At 39.8% G+C, this 20,915-nt stretch overlaps 1 protein-coding gene across 10 annotated transcripts in view; it reads left to right on the forward strand.

Moving 5' to 3' along the window:
* The window catches only part of ATAD5 (ATPase family AAA domain containing 5), a 63,904-nt gene extending 44,686 nt beyond the window's left edge, over nt 1–19,218 (forward strand). For 5 of the 10 annotated variants that reach the window (XM_011525269.4, XM_011525270.4, NM_024857.5 and 2 more), the window contains 8 exons: nt 765–898; nt 1,352–1,445; nt 2,772–2,836; nt 10,541–10,721; nt 15,956–16,137; nt 16,643–17,499; nt 17,913–18,071; nt 18,184–19,218. In XM_011525269.4, coding sequence (XP_011523571.1) covers nt 765–898; nt 1,352–1,445; nt 2,772–2,836; nt 10,541–10,721; nt 15,956–16,137; nt 16,643–17,499; nt 17,913–18,071; nt 18,184–18,262 — 1,751 coding nt within the window. In that variant the 3' untranslated portion in view covers nt 18,263–19,218. Of the gene's footprint in view, nt 1–764; nt 899–1,351; nt 1,446–2,771; nt 2,837–10,540; nt 10,722–15,955; nt 16,138–16,642; nt 17,500–17,912; nt 18,072–18,183 lie in introns of those variants that run through there. The other 5 variants (XM_047436783.1, XM_047436784.1, XR_001752632.3 and 2 more) reach the window with 3 other exon arrangements.
* The last annotated feature ends 1,697 nt before the right edge of the window (nt 19,219–20,915 follow it).

Here is a 20,915-nt window from a genome sequence, read left to right on the forward strand (position 1 = left end):
TCTCAGCTACACTGAAGGTTCTACATGTAGAAGTGTTAATATTTTGTTTCCTTTTTTTTTTTTTTTTTTTTTTTTTTTTGAGACAGAGTCTTGCTCTATTGCCAGGCCAAGCTGGAGTGCAGTGGCACAATTTTGGCTCACTGCAACCTCTTCCTCCTGGGTTCAAGCAATTCTTCTGCCTCAGCCTCCCGAGTAGCTGGGATTACTGGTGCACACCACCACTCCCAGCTAATTTTTGTATTTTTAGTAGAGACGGGGTTTTGCCATATTGTTCAGACTGGTTTTGAACTCCTGACCTCAAGTGATCCACCCACCTTAGCATCCCAAAGTGCTGGGATTACAGATATGAGCCACCACGCCCAGCTTGTTTCAGTTTTTGTTTGTTTGAGACAGTCTCACTCTTTCATCCAGGCTGGAATGCAGTGGCGCAATCTTGGCTCACTGCAACCTCCGCCTCCTGGGTTCAAGTGATGCTCCTGCCTCAGCCTCCCGTGTAGCTGAGATTACAGGTGTGTGCCACCACACCCAGCTAATTTTTGTATTTTTAGTAGAGTTGGGATTTCGCCATGTTGGTCTCGAAACCCTGACCTCAGGTGATCCACTTGCCTCGGCCTCCCAAAGTGCTGGGATTACAGGCATGAGCCACCGCGCCCGTCCTGTTTCAGTTTTGATAATGGATTTCAGTTTGAGCTTATTCTGTGGACATATCCAATGTCTTAGCAAAAGTTGATTTTACCTAAAATATTAATATTGTATTTATGCAGGAATAAAAAATTCTTTTGAACAGAAACAAATTACTCAGACTAAATCTACAAATGCAACTAATTCAAATGTCAAAGACGTTGGAGCTGAAGAACCCAGCAGAAAAAATGCAACATCTCTTATTCTTTTTGAGGAGGTAGGCTTATAGAAGTATACATTTGTGAGAGCTCATGATAAAGACTTACTTTAAAGAATACTGTATGTTTTCTTATAAAGAATTGTAAAATAGCTAAGGAGGTCAGGAATACGTGTATCTATTTGAAATTAAAGCAAATTAAACTGTCCACTCTAGAATAATTTTTCAGGAAGATGATTAATGTAATTCACGGCTGCTAATTATTGTTAAATGATTGTATAAATTATTCTGATCCATATCTGTCTAGTTATAGGTGGCTGCGTTTGTTTTTAACATTTGATAGTTGATAATTTTAAAATTCATTATAGTGTATGACATAAACTTTCAACATGAGCTGAATTCACACTTCATAAATTCATAAATTTTGTCTCTAACAGACATAGAATATTTACTATGTATACATAACTGATATTAGTAAGTGTATTAATATATTAATATTCTAATAAACTGTAGGTTGATGTAATTTTTGATGAAGATGCTGGGTTTTTGAATGCAATCAAAACATTCATGGCAACAACTAAACGACCTGTAATCCTTACTACAAGTGGTAGGTAACAATGATTTTACTTCAGTTAAACAGTTACTCAAATCTGTAGTTCATCTGCAGACTGGAGTAATTATAATTAACTCACAAATAGCAATTACTTTTTTAAAATTGATACTACTTTGGGTTACTATGTTGGGTATTAGATATTTAGGAATTGGAGAACAATCTCTAGAATGCAAATAAGAAATCTAGTAATGGTATTTTGGTAGGGAAAATACTAGATTCTTCTCCTGGTGTCCTTATCATACCTATAATCAGATCACTAAATCTGATTTAGTGGTCAGGATTTTTTATGGAACCCAACCTTTCTGCTGTTCCTTAATCCTGAACTTAGCCACTCTTTTGCCCCTGATAACACTTTCTTATGAATTATTGTATATTTAGCTATCATCAGCCTAATAGAATTGATCCATCTTCTAAAGAATTATCACAGAATGTTTCATTTTAAAAACTCATTCAATTTCTTTTTCAAAAAATTGGAAATACTATAATAATTTTCTAATATTTTTCCAATTATAAATATTCATGAGGCTAGTCTCTACTTACAAATTAATGCCCATTTGGTAGTGATTGTACTCTTAAAATATTGAGAAAAATCTTATTAATCAGAAGTTAGGTGGTGTTTTTTTTTTTTTTTTTTTTTTTTTTTTTTGGAGACAGAGTCTCACTCTGTTGCCCAGGCTGGAGTGCAATGGTACCATCTTGGCTCACTGCAACCTCTGCCTCCTGAGTTCAAGTGATTCTCCTGTCTCAGCCTCCTGAGTAGCTGGGACTACAGGCACACACCACCACGCCCAGCTAATTTTTGTATTTTTAGTAGAGACAGGGTTTCACCATATTGGTCAGGCTGGTCTCGAACTCCTGACCTCATGTGATCCACCTGCCTCGGCCTCCCAAAGTGCTGGGATCATAGGCATGAGGCACTGTGCCCAGCTGGTAGTTTTATTAGAAGATCATAGTTGGCCAGGTGTGGTGGCTCATGCCTTTAATTCCAGCACTTTGGGAGGCTAAGGTGGGCACTTGAACCTGGGAGTTTTGAGATCAGCCTGGGCACTATAGTGAGACCCCCATCTCTACAAAAAAACTTAAAAATTATCTGGGCATGGCAGCTTGAGCTTATAATCCTAGCTGCTTGGGAAGCTGAGGCAGAGGATCACTTGAGCCCAGGAGTTTGAGGCTGCAGTGAGCTATGACTGCACCACAGCACTAGGCAGTGGTGGGGAGGCGGGTGCTGAATATTTTCATAGAAAAGTATAACTTGAAAAAGTTATTTATTGGTCTTAGTGTTTAAGAATTTTTTTTTTTTGTGTGTGTGTGTGTGTGTAGACCCAACATTTAGTTTAATGTTTGATGGCTGCTTTGAAGAAATCAAGTTCAGTACTCCTTCCCTGGTAAGTTTTAAATTTTGATAGCCACAAATTACATATCACCATCATGTAAAAGTAGTTTATTATTAAATACAGCTATAATTTTTTTTTTTTTTTGAGACGGAGTCTTGCTCTGTCGCCCAGGCTGGAGTGCAGTGGCGCGATCTTGGCTCACTGCAAGCTCCGCTTCCCGGGTTCACGCCATTCTCCTGCCTCAGCCTCCGAAGTAGCTGGGACTACAGGCGCCTGCCACCACGCCCGGCTAATTTTTTGTATTTTTAGTAGAGACGGAGTTTCACCATTTTAGCCAGGATGGTCTTGATTTCCTGACCTTGTGATCTGCCCGCCTCGGCCTCCCAAAGTGCTGGGATTACAGGCGTGAGCCACTGCGCCCGGTCCAATACAGCTATAATTTAGCCAGGTGTGGTATCACGCCTGTACTCCCAGCTACTTGGGAGGCTGAGGCAGGAAGATCACTTGAGCCCAGGAGGTGGAGGTTACAGTGAGCTGAAATTGTGCCACTGTACTCTAGCCTGGTCAATCAATCAATCAATAAGGCCAGGCACAGTTGCTCATGCCTGTAATCCCAGCACTTTGGGAGGCTGAGGAGGGCAGATTGCTTGAGCTCTGGAGTTCGAGACTAGCTTGGGCAACATGGCAAAACCCTGTCTCTACACAAAAATACAAAAAATTAGCCAGGTGTGGTGGCACATGCCTGTAGTCCTACCTACTCAGGAGGCTGAGGTGGGACAATTGCTTGAGCCCAGGAGGTCGAGGCCATGGCTGCAGTGAGCTGTGATTGTACCACTGCATTCCAGCCTGGGTGACAGAGCAAGATTCTGTCTCAAAAAAAATAAATACCTGGCCGGGCGTAGTGGCTCACGCCTGTAATCCCAGCACTTTGGGAGGCCAGGTAGGGTGGGTCACCTGAGGTCGGGAGTTTGAGACCAGCCTGACCAACATGGTAAAACCCCATCTCTATTAAAAATACAAAATTAGCTGGGCGTGGTGGCGCATGCCTGTAATCCCAGCTACTTGGGAGGCTGTGGCAGGAGAATCGCTTGAATTTGGGAGATGGAGGTTGTGGTGAGCCTAGATCGTGCTATTGCACTCCAGCCTGGGCAACAAGAGTGAAACTACATCTCAAAAAAAAAAAAAAAGAAAAAAGAGCTATAATTTAAATGTGGTTTCTAAGGAATATGTTAAAATTTTTAAGTTTTAGGAAACTTCTGATTATTTCTCTTTTTTTTGCTTTAAAAATGTGTTTTCTTAAATTTAAAATAATTTTTACTAGGCTTCAATGTTCACTAGGTTTTTTGCCTAGTAAAAGTGCTTTTCTGAGGTAAAATTTAAATGGAGTTAAAATGCCCTTACATGAATAACTTAATGAATATATTTTGTACATATAACATATGTAAAAATCAGTGTCATCATTATGCAGATCAGAATATAGAGCATTTCCATTACCTCCTAAAGTTCTCATGGACCCTTTCTAGTAAGAATCCCCTTTTCCACCAGAAATAGCCACCTTTTTTTTTTCTTACGATGATGAACAAGGCACTTTTTTAACCTTTAAAAAGATAGTGTTTTTGTGTATATGTCTTTTTTTCTTATTTTTTCCTTTTTCTTTTTTTTCATTCTTCTAAAAAAAAAAAGTTTTTAAAATTAACATTGAGTTGCTGGGCATGGTGGCTCATACTTGTAATCCCAGCACTTTGGGAGGCTGAGGTTAGAGGATTGCTTGAGGCCAACAGTTCCAGGCTGCAGTGAGATAATTGTGGTCAGGTCAATTTTACTGTATGGGTTATTTTATTTTTTTAGGTGAGGTCTCACTCTGTTACCCAAGCTGGAGTGTAGTGGCACAATTGTCCTGTTGCCCAGGCTGGAGTACGGTGGCACGATCTTGGTTCACTACAACCTCCAACTCCTGGGTTCAAGCAATTCTCCCACCTCAGCCTCCCTAGTAATTGGGATTGGAGACGCACACCACCACGCCTGGCTTATTTTTTTTGTATTTTTAGTAGAGACGGGATTTCGCCATGTTGGCCAGGCTGGCTTTGAACTCTTGACCTCAAGTAATCCACCCACCTTGGCCTCTTAAAGAGCTGGGATTACAGGCGTGAGCCACCGCGCCCGACCCTGTTCTTACTTTTAAATTGTGTTTCTTAGCTGGAGGCAGTGGCTCACACCTGTAATCCCAGCACTTTGGGAGGCAGAGGCAGGCGGATCACTTGAGTCCAGGAGTTTGAGACCAGCCTGGGAAATGTGGTGAAACCCTGTCTCTACAAAAAATTAAAAAAATTAGCTGGATGTGGTAGCGCACACCTGTAGTCCCAGCTACTTGGGAGATTGAGGTGGGAGGATCACTTGAGTATGGGAGGCAGAGGTTGCAGTGAGCCAAGATCATACCACTGCACTCCAGCTTGGTGACAGAGCAAGACCCTGTCCCCCCCCCAAAAAAATAATTGTTTCTTTTAAATAACACATAATTGAATATTTTTAAAAATTTGTCTAGGCCGGGCGCAGTGGCTCACGCCTGTAATCCCAGCACTTTGGGAGGCTGAGGTGGGCGGATCACCTGAGGTCAGGAGTTTGAGATGAGCCTCAACATTGAGAAACCCCGTGTCTACTAAAAATACAAAATTAGCTGGGCGTGGTGGTGCATGCCTGTAATCCCAGCTACTCGGGAGGCTGAGGCAGGAGAATTGCTCGAACCTGGGAGGCAGAGGTTGTGGTGAGCCAAGATCGCGCCATTGCACTCCAGCCTGGGCAACAAGAGCGAAACTCCATCTGAAAAAAAAAAAAATTGTCTAAACAGGCTGGGGGCTGTGGCTTATGCCTATAATCCTAGCACTTTTGGAGGCCAAGGTGGGTGGATCCCTTGAGCCCAGAAGTTCAAGACCAGCCTGGGCAACATTGGCGAAATCCTGTCTCTACAAAAAGCACAAAAATTAGCTGGATGTAAAAAGAAAAAAAATTAACTGGGTGCAGTGGCATGTGCCTGTAGTCCCAGCTACTTGGGAGGCTAAGGCAAGAGGATTGCTTGAGCCTGGGAGGCAGAGGTTGCAGGAAGCCAAGATTGTGCCACAGCACTCCAGCTTGGGCAACAGAGTGAGACTCTGGAAGAAAAAGAAAAAAAAAACAATTTGTCTAGACAATTCTTCATTCTTCCTTTTCTGCAGTCTTTTGGATTAACCAAGTATATTATTTCATTTCACCTTCACTGTTGGCTTTCAGCTATATGCTAATATGGTCTCCACTACCCAAATGAAGCTATTGAGCTTTTAAAATGTGGCTAGTCTACAGTTAATAAAAGATCACATTTTGTATGATAATAATTGTATGAAATGTCCAGAATAGGCACATTTATAGAGACAGAAAGTGGATTCATAGCTGCCTAAGGCTAGAGGAGCTAGGTAGAAATAGGGAGTGACTGCTGATTGGTCTGGGGTTTCTTTTGGGGATGATGAAAATGCTCTGTAATTAGATAGTGGTAATGGGTGCAAAACTCTATAAATATACTAAAACCATTGAATTTTACATGTTAAGTGGGTGAATTGTATAGTATATGAATTATATCTAAATACGGCTTATTATCTATTTTTAAAATGTGGCTAGACCCCATCTCTACTTTGTGCTAAAGTGTAATATAAACACCAGATTTTTTTTTTTTTTTTTTGAGATACGGTCTCACTCTATCTCCTAGGCTGGAGTGTAGTGGCTCAGTCTCAGCTCACTGCAACCTCTACCTCCTGGGCTCAAGCAGTCCTCCCCTCTCAGCCTCCTGAGTAGCTAGGACCATAGGCATGTGCCACCACGCCCAGCTAATTAAAAAAATTTTTTTGTAGAGATGAGGTCTCACTATATTGCCCAGACTGGTCCTGAATTCCTGAGCTCAAGTAATACTCCTGCCTCAGCCTCCCGAAGTGCTGGTATTACATGCGTGAGCCACAGTGCCTGGCTAACACCAGATTTTGAGGACTCAGTGCAAAAAATAGGAATGTAACACATCTCACTAATTTTTATATTGGTTACATTTTGCAATATTTGGATATATTGTTGTAAAAGAAATGTAGTAAAATTAATTATTATTATTTTTTGAGATGGAGTCTCGCTCTGTTGCCCAGGCTGGAGTGCACTGGCGCAATCACTGGCTCACTGCAAGCTCCACCTCCCAGGTTCATGCTATTCTCCTGCCTCAGCCTCCCGAGTAGCTGGGACTACAGGCGCCTGCCACCATGCCCGGCTAATATTTTTTGTATTTTTTAGTAGAGATGGGGTTTCACCATGTTAGCCAGAATGGTTTCGATCTCCTGACCTCGTGATCCGCCCGTCTCGGCCTCCCAAAGTGCTGGGATTAGAGGTGTGAGCCCCCGCATCTGGCCCTAAAATTAATTTTACTTGTTTCTTTAATTTTTTAATGTGACTCCTAGACAATTTAAATTACATATATGGCTTGGTTTTTAAAATTTTTGTATTAAAAAATTTGCTTTTGGTAAAGAACACGTAACAGTGTACAGTTGAATAGTGTTAAGTATATTCACATTGCTCTTGCAAAACTGAAATTCTACGCTTGTTAAATGAAACTCCCTGTTTCCTCCTGTCCAGTAGTTGCTGGCAACTACCATTCTACTTTGTTTATATGAATTTGACTATGCTAGATATAAATGGAATCATACTGATTTGGCTTGTTGTGACCGGCTTTTTTTTTTTTGAGATGGAGTCTCCCTCTGTTGCCAGGCTGGAGTGCAGTGGCACGATCTTAGTCATGCAACCTCTGCCTTTGGTTTCAAGCAATTCTCCTGCCTCAGCCTCCCAAAGTGCTGGGATTACAGGCATGAGCCATCGCGCCAGGCTGTGACTGGCTTATTTCACTTAGCATAACATCCTCAAGGTTCATCTAAGTCGTAGTATGTATATAGCTTACAGTGTTTTACTTGCATTATATTTCTTTTCTTTTCTTTTTTTTTTTTTTTTTTTTTTGAGATGTAGTCTTGCTCTGTCACCTGGGCTGGAGTGCAGTGGCACGATCTCAGCTCACTGCAACCTCTGCCTCCCGGTTTCAAGCAATTCTCTTGCCTCAGCCTCCCGAGTAGCTGGGACTACAGGCACGTGCCACCATGCCCTGCTAATTTTTGTATTTTTAGTAGATATGGGGTTTCACCATGTTGGCCAGGCTTGTCTCGAACTCCTGACCTCAAGTGATCTGCCCGCCTCGGCCTCCCAAAATGCTGGGATTACAGACGTGAGCCACCGCACCTGCCCCTTTCCTTATATTTCTTTTTCTTTTTTTTTTTTTTTTGAGACAGAGTCTTGCTGTGTCGCCCAGGCTGGAGTGCAGTGGTGCAATCTCGGCTCACTGCAAGCTCCGCCTCCTGGGTTCACGCCATTCTCCTGCCTCAGCCTCCCGAGTAGCTGGGACTACAGGCGCCCACCACCACGCCTGGCTAATTTTTTGTATTTTTAGTAGAGACGGGGTTTCACTGTGTTAGCCAGGATGGTCTGGATCTCCTGACCTTGTGATCCACCCGCCTTTGCCTCCCAGAGTGCTGGGATTACAGGCGTGAGCCACCGTGCCCAGCTGCCTTTGCCTTATATTTCTAATGGACAGTACTGCTGTAGATTCTAGATGTTCTTTTCCTTTGTCGTTGCTAAATTCTCTTATTAGTTATAGTAGTTATTTTGTTGGTTTCTTAGGTTTTTCTTTGCTTTTTTTCTATTTTTTAAATTTTTATTAGAAACAGGGTCTCTCTGTCACCTAGGTTGGAGGGCAGTGGTGTGATCATAACTCACTGTAACTTCAAACTCCTAGCTTCAGGTGATCCCCCAACCTTGGCCTCCCAAAGTGCTGGGATTACAAGCATGAGCCACCACAACTGTCAGTTTCTTAGGTTTTTCTGTGTACTCAATCATGTTATCTGCGAACAGAGATAGTTTTCTTTCCTTTGTTTTTTCTGCCTTTTATTTCTTTTTGTTGCCTTATTTCATTGGGTAGGACCTTCAATATGTTAAGTAGAAGTGGTAACAATGGATATCCTTAGCTTGTACTTGATCTTAGATGGAAAGTGTTTACTATTTTACTGTTGAATACAAAGTTAGCTATAGGCTTTTCATACCTTCTTTTTATCAGATTAAGGAAATTTCTTTTATTCCAACTTTCTTTTTTTTTTTTTTTTTTTTTTTTGGTTGAGATGGAGTTCGCTCTTGTCGCCCAGGCTGGAGTGCAGTGGGGCAATTTCGGCTCACTGCAACCTCCACCTCCCGGGTTTGAGTGATTCTCCTGTCTCAGCCTCCCGAGTAGCTGGGATTATAGGCAAGTGCCACCATGCCTGGCTAATTTTTTGTATTTTTAGTAGAGATGGGGTTTTGCCATGTTGGTCAGGCTGGTCTTGAACTCCCGCCTCGCCCTCTCAAAGTGCTGGGATTACATGCGTGAGCCTTGGCCCCCAGGCTATTCCAATTTTCTTAGAATTTTTATCAAGAGTAGGTGTTGGATTTTATCAACAGCTTCTTTTGCATGTGTTGAAATCATATTTTTCTACTTTTATCTATCTCTATGGTGAATTATACTGACTGATTTTCTAATGATAAACCCCCCTTGGTCATGATGTATTATCCACTTTATATATTGATGGATTAGATTTGTGATTAATTTATTAAGGATTTATATGTTTATTTTCTTGAGGAATACTACTTTGTAACTTTTTTCTTTTTTTTTTTTAAGAATTGTCTTTGTTAGCTTTAAGTATTAAGGTTAAGCTGCCCTCAAAAAGAGTTGAGAAATGTTTCCTTCTCTTTTTTCTAAGAGTTTGTATAGGGTTGATATTCTTTATTTTTTGGTATTTGATATACTTCATCAGTGAATTTATGAGTTTTCTTTGTGGGAAAATCTTTGATAAATTGAATTATTTTATTTATTTATTTATTTATTTATTTATTTATTTATTTATTTTCGAGACAGAGTCTTGCTCCATCGCCGAGGCTGGAGTGCAATGGTGTGATCTTGGTTCACTGTAACCTCCACCTCCCAGGTTCAAGCGATTCTCCTGCTTCAGCCTCCCGAGTAGCTGGGATTAGAGATGGGGTATCACCATGTTGGGCAGGCTGGTCTCAAACTCCTGACCTCAGGTGATCCCCTTGCCTCAGCCTCTCTCAATTTCTTGGCCAGGCACAGTGGGTCATGCCTATAATCCTAGCACTTTGGAAGGCTAAGGCAGGAAGACTGCTTGATGCCAGGAGTTTGAGACCAGCCTGGGCAATATAGTGAGACCCTGATCTCTACCAAAAAAAAAAAAATTAATTAGCTTTATGCACTAATTAGTGCAATTTCTAACCTGGTTTTTAAAAAATTGTGTATTTTTCAGTGTTATAGTATTCATATTTATAATTTTGTTGTAAGATATTCTATCAAGCTATACTGTTACTTAATCCTAAGGGGTTTTATCAAGGTTTATAAAACTGCCTTCAGTGTTCAGGTTGGAGAATCTCCTATAAAAGTTTCCTTGCTGTCTTGCACAATATACAGTTAATAAAAGAAATACATGTAAATGCTTTTAATTTAATGGTATATTCCCTTATATTTTTAAAGCAGTTTCATCCTCAAGAAGAGCATTTAAGATAATGTGAATTTTAGCAAAATTTGTCTCACTTTTAGATACTATTTGTATGTATTATTGCTGTATCTATTTGAACTCAGCAGTTAACCACATTTCTCTCTCTGTTTTGAAGCTAAATGTTGCCAGCTACCTACAAATGATTTGCTTAACTGAGAATTTTAGAACTGATGTAAAAGACTTTGTAACCTTGTTAACTGCAAATACTTGTGATATCAGAAAAAGTATCCTTTACTTACAATTCTGGATTAGAAGTGGAGGTGGAGTTTTAGAAGAACGACCATTAACCCTTTATCGTAAGTTGATTTGTTATTAAAGAAATTTCTATTATGGGACCCTATTTAAAAATCTGTGCTATGGCTGGGTGCAGTGGCTCATGCCTGTAATCCCAGCACTTTGGGGGAGTGAGGTGGGAGGATCTCTTGAGGCCAGGAGGTCCAGATCAGTCTGCTGAACATAGTGAGACCCCTGTCTCTACAAGAAAATTTATGGGAGGCCAAGGTGGGAGGATCACTTGAAGCCAGGAGTTCAAAACCAGCCTGCGCAAGAAAGCGAGACCCCTGTCTCTACAAAAAAAATTTGCAAAAATTAGCTGCGCAGGGTGGCATGTGCCTGTAATACTGGCTACCCGGGAGGCTGAGGTAGGAGGATCACATGATCCCCGAAGAGTTTGAGGCTGCAGTGAGCTATGATTATGCCACTGCACTCCGGCCCAGACAATAGAGCAATACCCTATCTCTAAAAAAAGAAAAAATTATTTATTTATATTTTTTGAGATGGAGTCTCGCACTGTTGCCTGGGCTAGAGTGCAGTGGTGCGATCTCGGCTCATTGCAACCTCTGTCTCCCAGGTTCAAGCAATTCTCCTGCCTCAGCCTCCCGAGTAGCTGGGATTACAGGCCCCCACCATCACGCCCAGCTAATTTTTTTTGTCTTTTTAGTAGAGATGGGGTTTCATTATGTTGGCTAGGCTGGTCTCGAACTCCTGACCTCATGATCCACTTGCCTCGGCCTCCCAAAGTACTGGGATTAGAGGCGTGAGCCACCGTACTTGGCCCAAAAAAAAATTTTTTTTAATTAAAAAAACTCTGTGCTATGCTAGAATAGTTGAAAGATTATAAAAATTTTAAGCAACTTGTTATATTAATCTTCAAAATAAATATGCACATGTCAACTTTGTTCATAAAACATTTTGGCCTGGCACAGTGTCTCACAACTGTAATCTCAGCACTTTGGGAGGCCAAGGGGCATGGATTCCTTGAGCTCAGGAGTTTGAGACCAGCCTGGGCAACATGGCGAAACCCCATCTCTACAAAAAATTGGCTGGGCATGGTGGTGCGTGTCTGTGGTCCTAGCTACTTGGGAGGCAGAGATATGAGGATCACTAGAATCTGGGAGATCGAGGCTGCAGTGAGCCAAGATCACGCCACTGCACTCCAGCCTGGGTGACAGAGTGAGACTCTGACTAAAAAAAAATTTTTGCAGTCAATGTGAGTAAATAGAATTAAACTGGATCTAGAAAGTTGGATTTTTTTCCTGGCTATGCTACTCTTTACAATTAATATATAAGCTCCAAAATTCACTTTACCTTTTTGAGCCTGTTTTTTCACCTAAAAAAGGAGAGATCTGAACTAATCTATAAGTTACTTATTCTTTTGTAGTTGAGCTTTTAAGATGATCTCATTGTTTAATTTTAAAAAAACACACACAGGCTGGGTGCAGTGGCTCACGCCTGTAATCCCAGCACTTTGGAAGGCCGAGGCGGTTAGATCATGAGGTCAGGAGATCAAGACCTTCCTGGCCAACATGGTGAAACCCCATCTCTACTAAAAATACAGACATTAGCCGGGTGTGGCGGCACATGCCTGTAGCTACTCGGGAGGCTGAGGCAGGAGAATTGCTTGAACCCAGGAGGCGGAGGCTGCAGTGAGCCAAGATCGCACCACTGCATTCCAACCTGGGCGACAGAGTGAGACTCTGTCTCAAAAAAAAAAAAAAAAATTAAAAAACACACACACAAATTAAAAAACAAACACAAAAAACCTCCCACCCTGTTCCCCCTTTCCTCTTCAAAAGTTTTTCTTTTCTTTCTTTTTTTTTTTTTTTTGAGGTAGGGTCTCGCTATATTGCCCAGGCTGGAGTATAGTGACTCTTCATGGGCAGGATCATAATGCACAGCCCTGAACTCCTGGGCTCAAGCGATACTCCTGTCCTAGCCTCCTGAGAAGGCCACTGTGTTCAGCTTCCTCCCCAGAAATTTGACTCTTAAATTTTCAAACTGTTACTTATACATGTATTAACATATATAAGTACTTATAACATAGTACTTATAAACAAATGATACTATAATTATTATTTAACAACTTTTTCACTTACTAAAAACATTAATTTTTCTATATGAGTATATATATATATAGGTATATAGTATTCTTATGTAACTATAACGTACAATCACTTTTAGCTTCAGGAGTCTTTAAATTCTGTCTTTCCTAAATACTTTATTATTTCAGAAATGCTTTTATTTCTTATTTTTTTTCAGTCATCATTGTTACCTAATTCAAGTGAGTACCTTCTCCATGCCAGGTCTTGTGTTTACATGGTTAAGACATGGTTCCTTGCCTGAAGAAGTTTTAGTTTGGTTTCCATGCTCCATAGTCACGGTTTTGTAGTTACAGATCCTATTCTGGTAAATACACAAATATTTCAAGGAAACCAAGGTGAAATTATGTAATATTTATCCTTATCAGTTTTTTCTTCTAATGAGTTTAACATTTTAACGTATTCTTTTTCTTTTTTCTTTTCTTTTCTTTCTTTTTTTTTTTTTTTTTTTTTGAGACAGTGTCTCATTCTGTTGCCCAGGCTGGAGTGCAGTGGCAGTGCAGCATGGCTCACTCCAGCTTAATCTCCTGGACTCGAGCCGTCTTCCGCCCTGAGCCTCCTGAGTAGCTGGAACCACAGGCGTGCACCACCACAGCTAACTTTTTTAATTTTTTGTAGAGACGGGGATCTCACTATGTTGCCCAGCCTGGTATTGAACTCCTGGGCTCAAGTGATCCGCCCCTCTTGGGCTCCCAAAGTGCTGGGATTATAGGCATGAGCCACCTCACCCAGCTTCATATTATTCTTTTTCAAAGTAGATATGCCTATATATTCTATTCAGTGTAAGCCCATAGCTTTAACCATTTCTCAAAAGTAAATATAATACATAACACATGGAAAATATCCTGGTGTAACAAATTAGTTAATAACTTTTTGATATACCACTAGATATAAATTGTTACAGCAAGAAACTTTAGAAGACACAAAATAACAAAATAAGTACAGCATAATTTCTCTTCTTTTCTTTTTTTTTTTTTTTTTTTTTGAGATGGAATCTGGCTCTGTCACCCAGGCTGGAGTGCAGTGGCACGATCTCGGTTTGCTGCAACCTCTGCCTCCTGGGTTCAAGGGATTCTCCTGCCTCAGCCTCCCAAGTAATTGGGTCTACAGGCGTGTACCACCACACCCAGCTAATTTTTTGCATTTTTAGTAGAGACAGGGTTTCACTGAGTTAGCCAGGATGGTCCCGATCTCCTGACCTTGTGATCCGCCTGCCTCAGCCTCCCAAAGTGCTGGGATTACAGGCATGAGCCACAGCACTTGGCTGGGGCCAGTTTCTCTTCTTAAAAATCTTTTTTTATATACATTTCATCCCTGCCCTTAAAAAAAAAACAGATACATAAAACAATATTCCCCTACTTCTTGAAAGTAGCCACAGTTAGACCTTTATGCATGTAACATAAAGATACATACTTATTTAGCAAAATTAACCAGTATTATATATGTTGTTATTTTTAAGTTTATTGTTAGCACATACGATCCTATCCCACTGTCTTTCACAGCTGCATGCTTTTCTATAGAATAGAATGGATGTACCGTAATTTAACCGTTACTTACAGACATTTACATTATCTTCAATTTGTCATTAAAATACAGTGAATATCTTTATACATATATCCTTGAAAATGTCTGTAATATTGATGGAGAGAATTCTAGAAGTATGACTGCTGGGTCACAAACGGTGTATATACTTTACATTTTGATAGTTGTTGTCAGACTGCCCTCTGATGATAATTGTACCAACTTATGCTCCCATGAATAGTATATGATGGTTTTTTTATGTGTACTGCTGACAGAACTACATTATAATTCTTTTAATTTTGCCAATTTAAAAAGTGAAACATGTACAGTATCTTATTTTAAAATTACATTTCCATGCTTAGTGGTGAAATTGCATATCTTTTTATTAGGTCTTTGAAATTATTATTATTATTTGAGACGGAGCCTCACTCAGTCGCCCAGGCCAGAGTACAGTGGCGTGATCTTAGTTCACTGCAGCCTCTGCCTCCCGGGTTCAAGTGATTCTCCTGCCTCAGCCTCCCAAGTAGCTGGGATTACAGGCACGCACCACTATGCCCAGCTAATTTTTTATATTTTTAGTAGAGATGGGGTTTTGCCATATTGGCCAGGCTGGTCTCGAACTCCTGACCTCAGGTGATCCACCCGCCTCGGCCTCCCAAAGTGCTGGGATTACAGGTGTGAGCCACTGCACCCGGCTGAAATTACTGTTTCTTTTTTCTTCCCCCTTTGAGTTGGAGTCTCGCTCTGTTGCCGAGGCTGGAGTGCAGTGGCGTGATCTCGGCTCACTGCAACCTCCGCCTCCCAGGTTCAAGCTATTCTCCTGCTTCAGCCTCCCTAATAGCGGGGGCTACAGGCATGCGTCACCACGCCTGGCTAATTTTTGTATTTTGAATAGAGACAAGGTTTCACCATGTTGCCCAGGATGGTCTCGAACTTGCCCAGGATGGTCTCGAACTCCTGAACTCAAGTGATCCACCTGCCTCAGCCTCCCAAAGTGCTGGGATTACAGGCGTGAGCCACCTCACCTGGCCTGAAATTAATATTAGGTATTTATTTTTCTTCTGTGACTTGCCTGCTCACAGTCCTTGCACTTTTTCTGTTGGATGGCTTTGAAAGTCCCCCACCATCACCTCACTTAATTTATCTCTTGGTAGAAATAATGCTTATGGCCAGGCGCAGTGGCTCACGCATGTAATCCCAGCACTTTGGGAGGTCGAGGGGGGTGGATCACTCGAGGTCAAGAGTTCGAGATCAGCCTGGCCAACATGGTGAAACCCTGTCTCTACTAAAAATACAAAAAGTAGCCGGGTGTGGTAGCGCGTGCCTGTAATCCCGGCTACTCGGGAGGCTGAGGCAGGAAAATCGCTTGAACCCAGGAGGTGGAGGTTTCAGTGAGCTGAAATTGCACCACTGCAATTCAGCCTGGGTGATAGAGTGATACTCTGTCTTTAAAAAAAAAAAAAAAAAAAGAATAATGCTTATATTGTACTCTTAATGAATTAAACACATATGTAGAGAACTAAATGGGGGTATTTGTCCAGAAGATGTCAAAGGATCTCAGGCTTTAAATAATTGTTTGATACAATTTGTTTAATACATATATAGAGCTAAGATTTTCTTTTATTTTGTAGGTGGAAATAGCAGAAATGTACAACTAGTTTGCTCTGAACATGGCCTTGATAACAAAATTTACCCTAAAAATACTAAAAAGAAACGTGTAGACCTTCCAAAATGTGACAGTGGCTGTGCTGAGACCTTGTTTGGCCTTAAGAACATTTTTTCCCCATCTGAAGACTTATTTTCATTTTTAAAGGTATTTTCAATGTCTGTTTTGCAATGTTGAATTTATATTCCTTTTCATATTCCCAACATTAGCCTCCTATCTTTTGAATCTTAAGTTTAACTTAAATGTGCCTATAATTTGTATAAGCCTTAGGTCTCTGATTTTAACACATCCTACCACTTTGACAAATGGTGCATAGGCATTGCTCTGAATGCATATTATAGGATTTAGAATAGCATTTAGAAAATTTTTCAGATAGACTATTTCAGAAAAGTGGTTTTAAATAAATGAGCTTCTAATAATATTGGAGTATATACTAAATACATAGAGAATTTAATTCTCCAAATTAATCGTCTAAATTTAATTTTTAGACATAGTACTATTTTGATATATTAAATATAGATAAATAAAATTATGAGGGGTAGTGACTCAGTACTTTGAATTTAGAATAGGGATAACACTATATTCATACAGGTAGAAAAGTATTCAAACTATGTACTGCTGTAACATTTCTTTACTCAAAATTGTTTTTCAGCACAAAATCACAATGAAGGAAGAATGGCATAAATTCATCCAGCTTCTTACAGAATTCCAAATGCGGAATGTAGATTTTTTATATAGTAATCTTGAGTTTATTCTACCATTACCAGTTGATACCATTCCAGAAACTAAAAACTTTTGTGGCCCATCAGTAACTGTGGATGCCAGTGCAGCAACAAAAAGTATGAATTGTCTTGCTAGGAAACACTCTGAAAGAGAACAGCCATTGAAAAAGTCCCAGAAAAAGAAACAAAAGAAAACATTGGTAATATTAGATGATAGTGATCTATTTGACACTGACTTGGACTTTCCTGATCAATCTATTAGCCTGTCCTCTGTATCATCTTCCTCAAATGCAGAAGAAAGCAAAACCGGAGACGAAGAAAGCAAAGCCAGAGACAAAGGAAACAATCCAGAGACAAAGAAATCTATTCCTTGTCCTCCTAAAACAACTGCAGGAAAAAAATGTTCTGCCCTTGTTTCTCATTGTTTAAATTCTCTCTCTGAGTTCATGGATAACATGTCCTTCTTAGATGCACTTTTAACTGATGTAAGGGAACAAAACAAATACGGTAGAAATGACTTTAGTTGGACAAATGGAAAGGTTACAAGTGGACTTTGTGATGAGTTTAGTCTTGAGAGTAATGATGGATGGACTTCTCAAAGCTCTGGAGAATTAAAGGCAGCTGCAGAAGCTCTCAGCTTTACTAAATGTTCTTCTGCTATTTCAAAAGCATTGGAAACCTTGAATTCTTGCAAGAAATTAGGAAGAGATCCAACCAACGATCTTACTTTTTATGTTTCACAAAAGCGCAATAATGTATACTTTAGTCAGTCAGCAGCTAATTTAGAGTAAGTCTTACTTCCTTTACTTTTTATTTTTTGGTAATAAATCGTAAAGGGGAAATCAATAGAGTTTTTTCTTAATTTAAAAATGCTGTACTATTGATCATGGTAAGCCCTTAACATTAATAATGTAGCTTCTAATGAGATAGCTAAAGAGACCAGCTTGATCGCTGGGAAGAGAAATAATGAGTGATTGGGGTGGATTTAGGTAATGCTTGAATGACCCAGGAAGGAGTTTGGTCTTGCTGTATAGTTATTGAGATTTTTTCAGTATGGGAGTGATTGATGTGTTGACAGGAAATTAATCTGGAAATGTCATCTGGTCTAGACCAGAGGCAAGGAAACTAAACTGGTTGTGATTGGGATTACTGCATTTTTCTTGGGCATTAAAAATTAAAAACAATGCATTACTTTTACAGCAATGCTTGGAAGAGGATATCAGTCATTAAAAGTGTATTTTCGAGTCGATCTCTTCTCTATGTGGGTAATAGACAAGCTAGTATAATTGAATACCTGCCAACCCTTCGAAACATCTGTAAGACTGAGAAGCTAAAAGAACAAGGAAAAAGTAAAAGAAGGTAAAGGCTTTATTAAAAACAACATTTTAGATAGCTTTTTCAAGATTAATACATATTTTCATAAGATGAAAATGTTAATATTAAATTGTATTTTTCTTTGTAATTTTGACAGATTCCTGCACTATTTTGAAGGAATTCATCTTGACATTCCAAAAGAGACTGTGAATACTTTGGCAGCTGACTTCCCTTAATGTTCCATACTAACAATGCTTTGTATAGATTATCATGTGGTCCTTAAGATACATTTTTATATTATGTGGATCTTCATGGAAAAGTATATTTCTCGATGTACATTTTAAACAAACAATTTGTATATTTTTTTATTGGCGGGTAAATATTTAAAATATTTGAGTTACAAATTTTATATATGATTGTAATTTTTTTTCTGAATTTTTTGTATTATCTGATTTAGCTTTGTTGGAGTATTTTTTGTATGTGAGTGAACTGTTTCTGGAAGGTAGAGTTCATTAAGATGAACTCCCTATTTCAAGTGTTTATATTATATATTAGCTTAATATTCAGATACATTATCTTGGCTGCTAACATTAGTGTCACTAAAGTTGGTATACAATCTCCCACTGCTAAATTTGACTGGCTTTACAAAAACAAAAACATTATCTGGTGAATTATATTTTTAACCTAAAAGTTAAGGATCCTCATATTGTACAGTTTTTTTTGTGTGCTTTTTTTTTTTTTTTTTGAGACGGAATCTTGCTCTGTCACCCAGGCTGGAGTGCAGTGGCCTGGTATCGGCTCAGTGCAACTTTTGCCTCCCGGGTTCAAGCGATTATCCTGCCTCAGCCTCCTGAATAGCTGGGATTACAGGCATGTGCCACCTTGCCCAGCTAATTTTTGTATTTTTAGAAGAGACAGGGTTTTACCATGTTGGTTAGGCTGGTCTCTTAACTCCTGACCTCAAGTGATCCATCTGCCTCGGCCTCCCAAAGTGCTGGGATCACAGGCGTGAGCCACCTCACCTGGCCTATATTGTACAGTTTTGAACAGTATAGATGCATACCTGTTTACAAATGTGTATGAAGATAGATATTTTTACCTCTTATTTGTTCAATTTACTTTTTCTTGTATTAATTAGTATATTGATCTAATTAAAGGTTAAAGCTAAAGGCTTTATGAAATGTTTAAAAAAGAGTTCAGATGTAATCATCTTGATAAATATGTATATTGTATGGGTTTGAATATAGGATATAACTTAAAGATTTCATCCCTGTACAGAAGAGAGAATAAGATCTTCTGAAGTTTTTTTTTTTTTTTTTTTTTGAGACAGAGTTTCACTCTGATTGTCCAGGCTGGAGTGTAATGATGTGCTCTCGGCTTACCACAACCTTCGCCTCCCAGGTTCAAGCGATTCTCCTGCCTCAGCCTCCCAAGTAGCTGGGATTACAGGCACCCGCCACCATGCCCAGCTAATTTTGTATTTTTAGTAGAGACAGGGTTTCTCCATGTTGGTCAGGCTGGTCTCCAACTCCCGACCTCAGGTGATCTGCCTGCCTTGGCCTCCCAAAGTGCTGGGATTACAGGCATAAGCCACTGTGCCCAGCCTGAAGTATTTTAAAAAATATTTTTAAAATACTGTTCTTTTTTTCTCCTCTTAAAAAAAAAAAGAAAATAATGGGAGTATTTTCCTCCCTAATATGGACACATTTAATATTTTATTTATTTTTAGGTTTATAATAATTCAGGGAAAAAATCTTTATCTTTTTTTTTTTTTTAAGAGGTCTCACTCTTGATCTCACTCTTGTTGCCCAGGTTGGAGTGCAATGGCACAATCATAGTTCACCATAGCCTCAAACTCCTGAGCTCAAGTGATCCTCCTTCCTTGGCCTCCCAAAGCATTGGGATTACGGGTGTGAGCCACTGCACCCAGCCTTTTCATTTATGTTTGTTTGTTTGAGATTGAGTTTCGCTCTTGTTGTCCAGGCAGGAGTGCAGTGGCATGATCTCGGCTCACTGCAACTTTCACCTCACAGGTTTAAGCGATTCTCCTGCCTCAGCCTCCTGAATAGCTGAGATTACAGACATGTGCCACCACGCTCAGCTAATTTTGTATTTTTAGTAGAGACAGGGCTTGTCCATGTTGGCCAGGTTGGTCTTGAACTTCTGACCTCAGGTGATCCACCCGCCTTGGCCTCCCAAAGTACTGAGATGACAAGCGTGAGCCACTGCGCCCAGCCCTTTTCATTCTTAAAGATGATAGTAAATTCCTGTAAGATTTAGATTCACTTTTGTGATAATGCCATGTTTCCGTTATGAACAACTAGGTAGTTGGAGAAACTATTAAAATAGAAAACAGTGGCAAAGGAGATGGTTTGGATGGAAAGAGAATGATTTCCTTTTTAGACATGCATAGTTTGAGGTATCTATATTTCCAAAGTGGAGATGTTTAGGTACACAATGACATATGTAAATGTAGAAACTTTATTTGTGTGTGGCAACAGGTCTAGAGTGTATACCAACTCTAGGGAGTTGGAGGTGCTAGAGAAGGGAGGGCTTCAATTTCTTGCTTTATGTTTCAGATTATTTGAAGTTTTTTCAACAAATATATTTCACTTTTAGATTATAGAAAATGTTTATGTTACAGAAAATATTTAATACTTTTTTTTTTTAAGACATGGGGACTTGCTACATTGCCCAGTCTGGCTTCAAATCCTGGGCTCAAGTGATCCTCCCACCTCAGCCTTCCAAGTAGCTGGCAGGCATGCACCAATGATATTTAATACTTTGACATCAAAGAGACTTAGGTTCATAAAGAAGATATATTGAGGACCTCAACTAATGTAGACAGTGGTAAAATGGACATCAAACGATGGTCTGTCAAGTTAAAAT

The sequence above is a fragment of the Homo sapiens genome, chromosome 17 (assembly GCF_000001405.40).
Source record: "Homo sapiens chromosome 17, GRCh38.p14 Primary Assembly".
Classification (NCBI taxonomy): domain Eukaryota; kingdom Metazoa; phylum Chordata; class Mammalia; order Primates; family Hominidae; genus Homo; species Homo sapiens.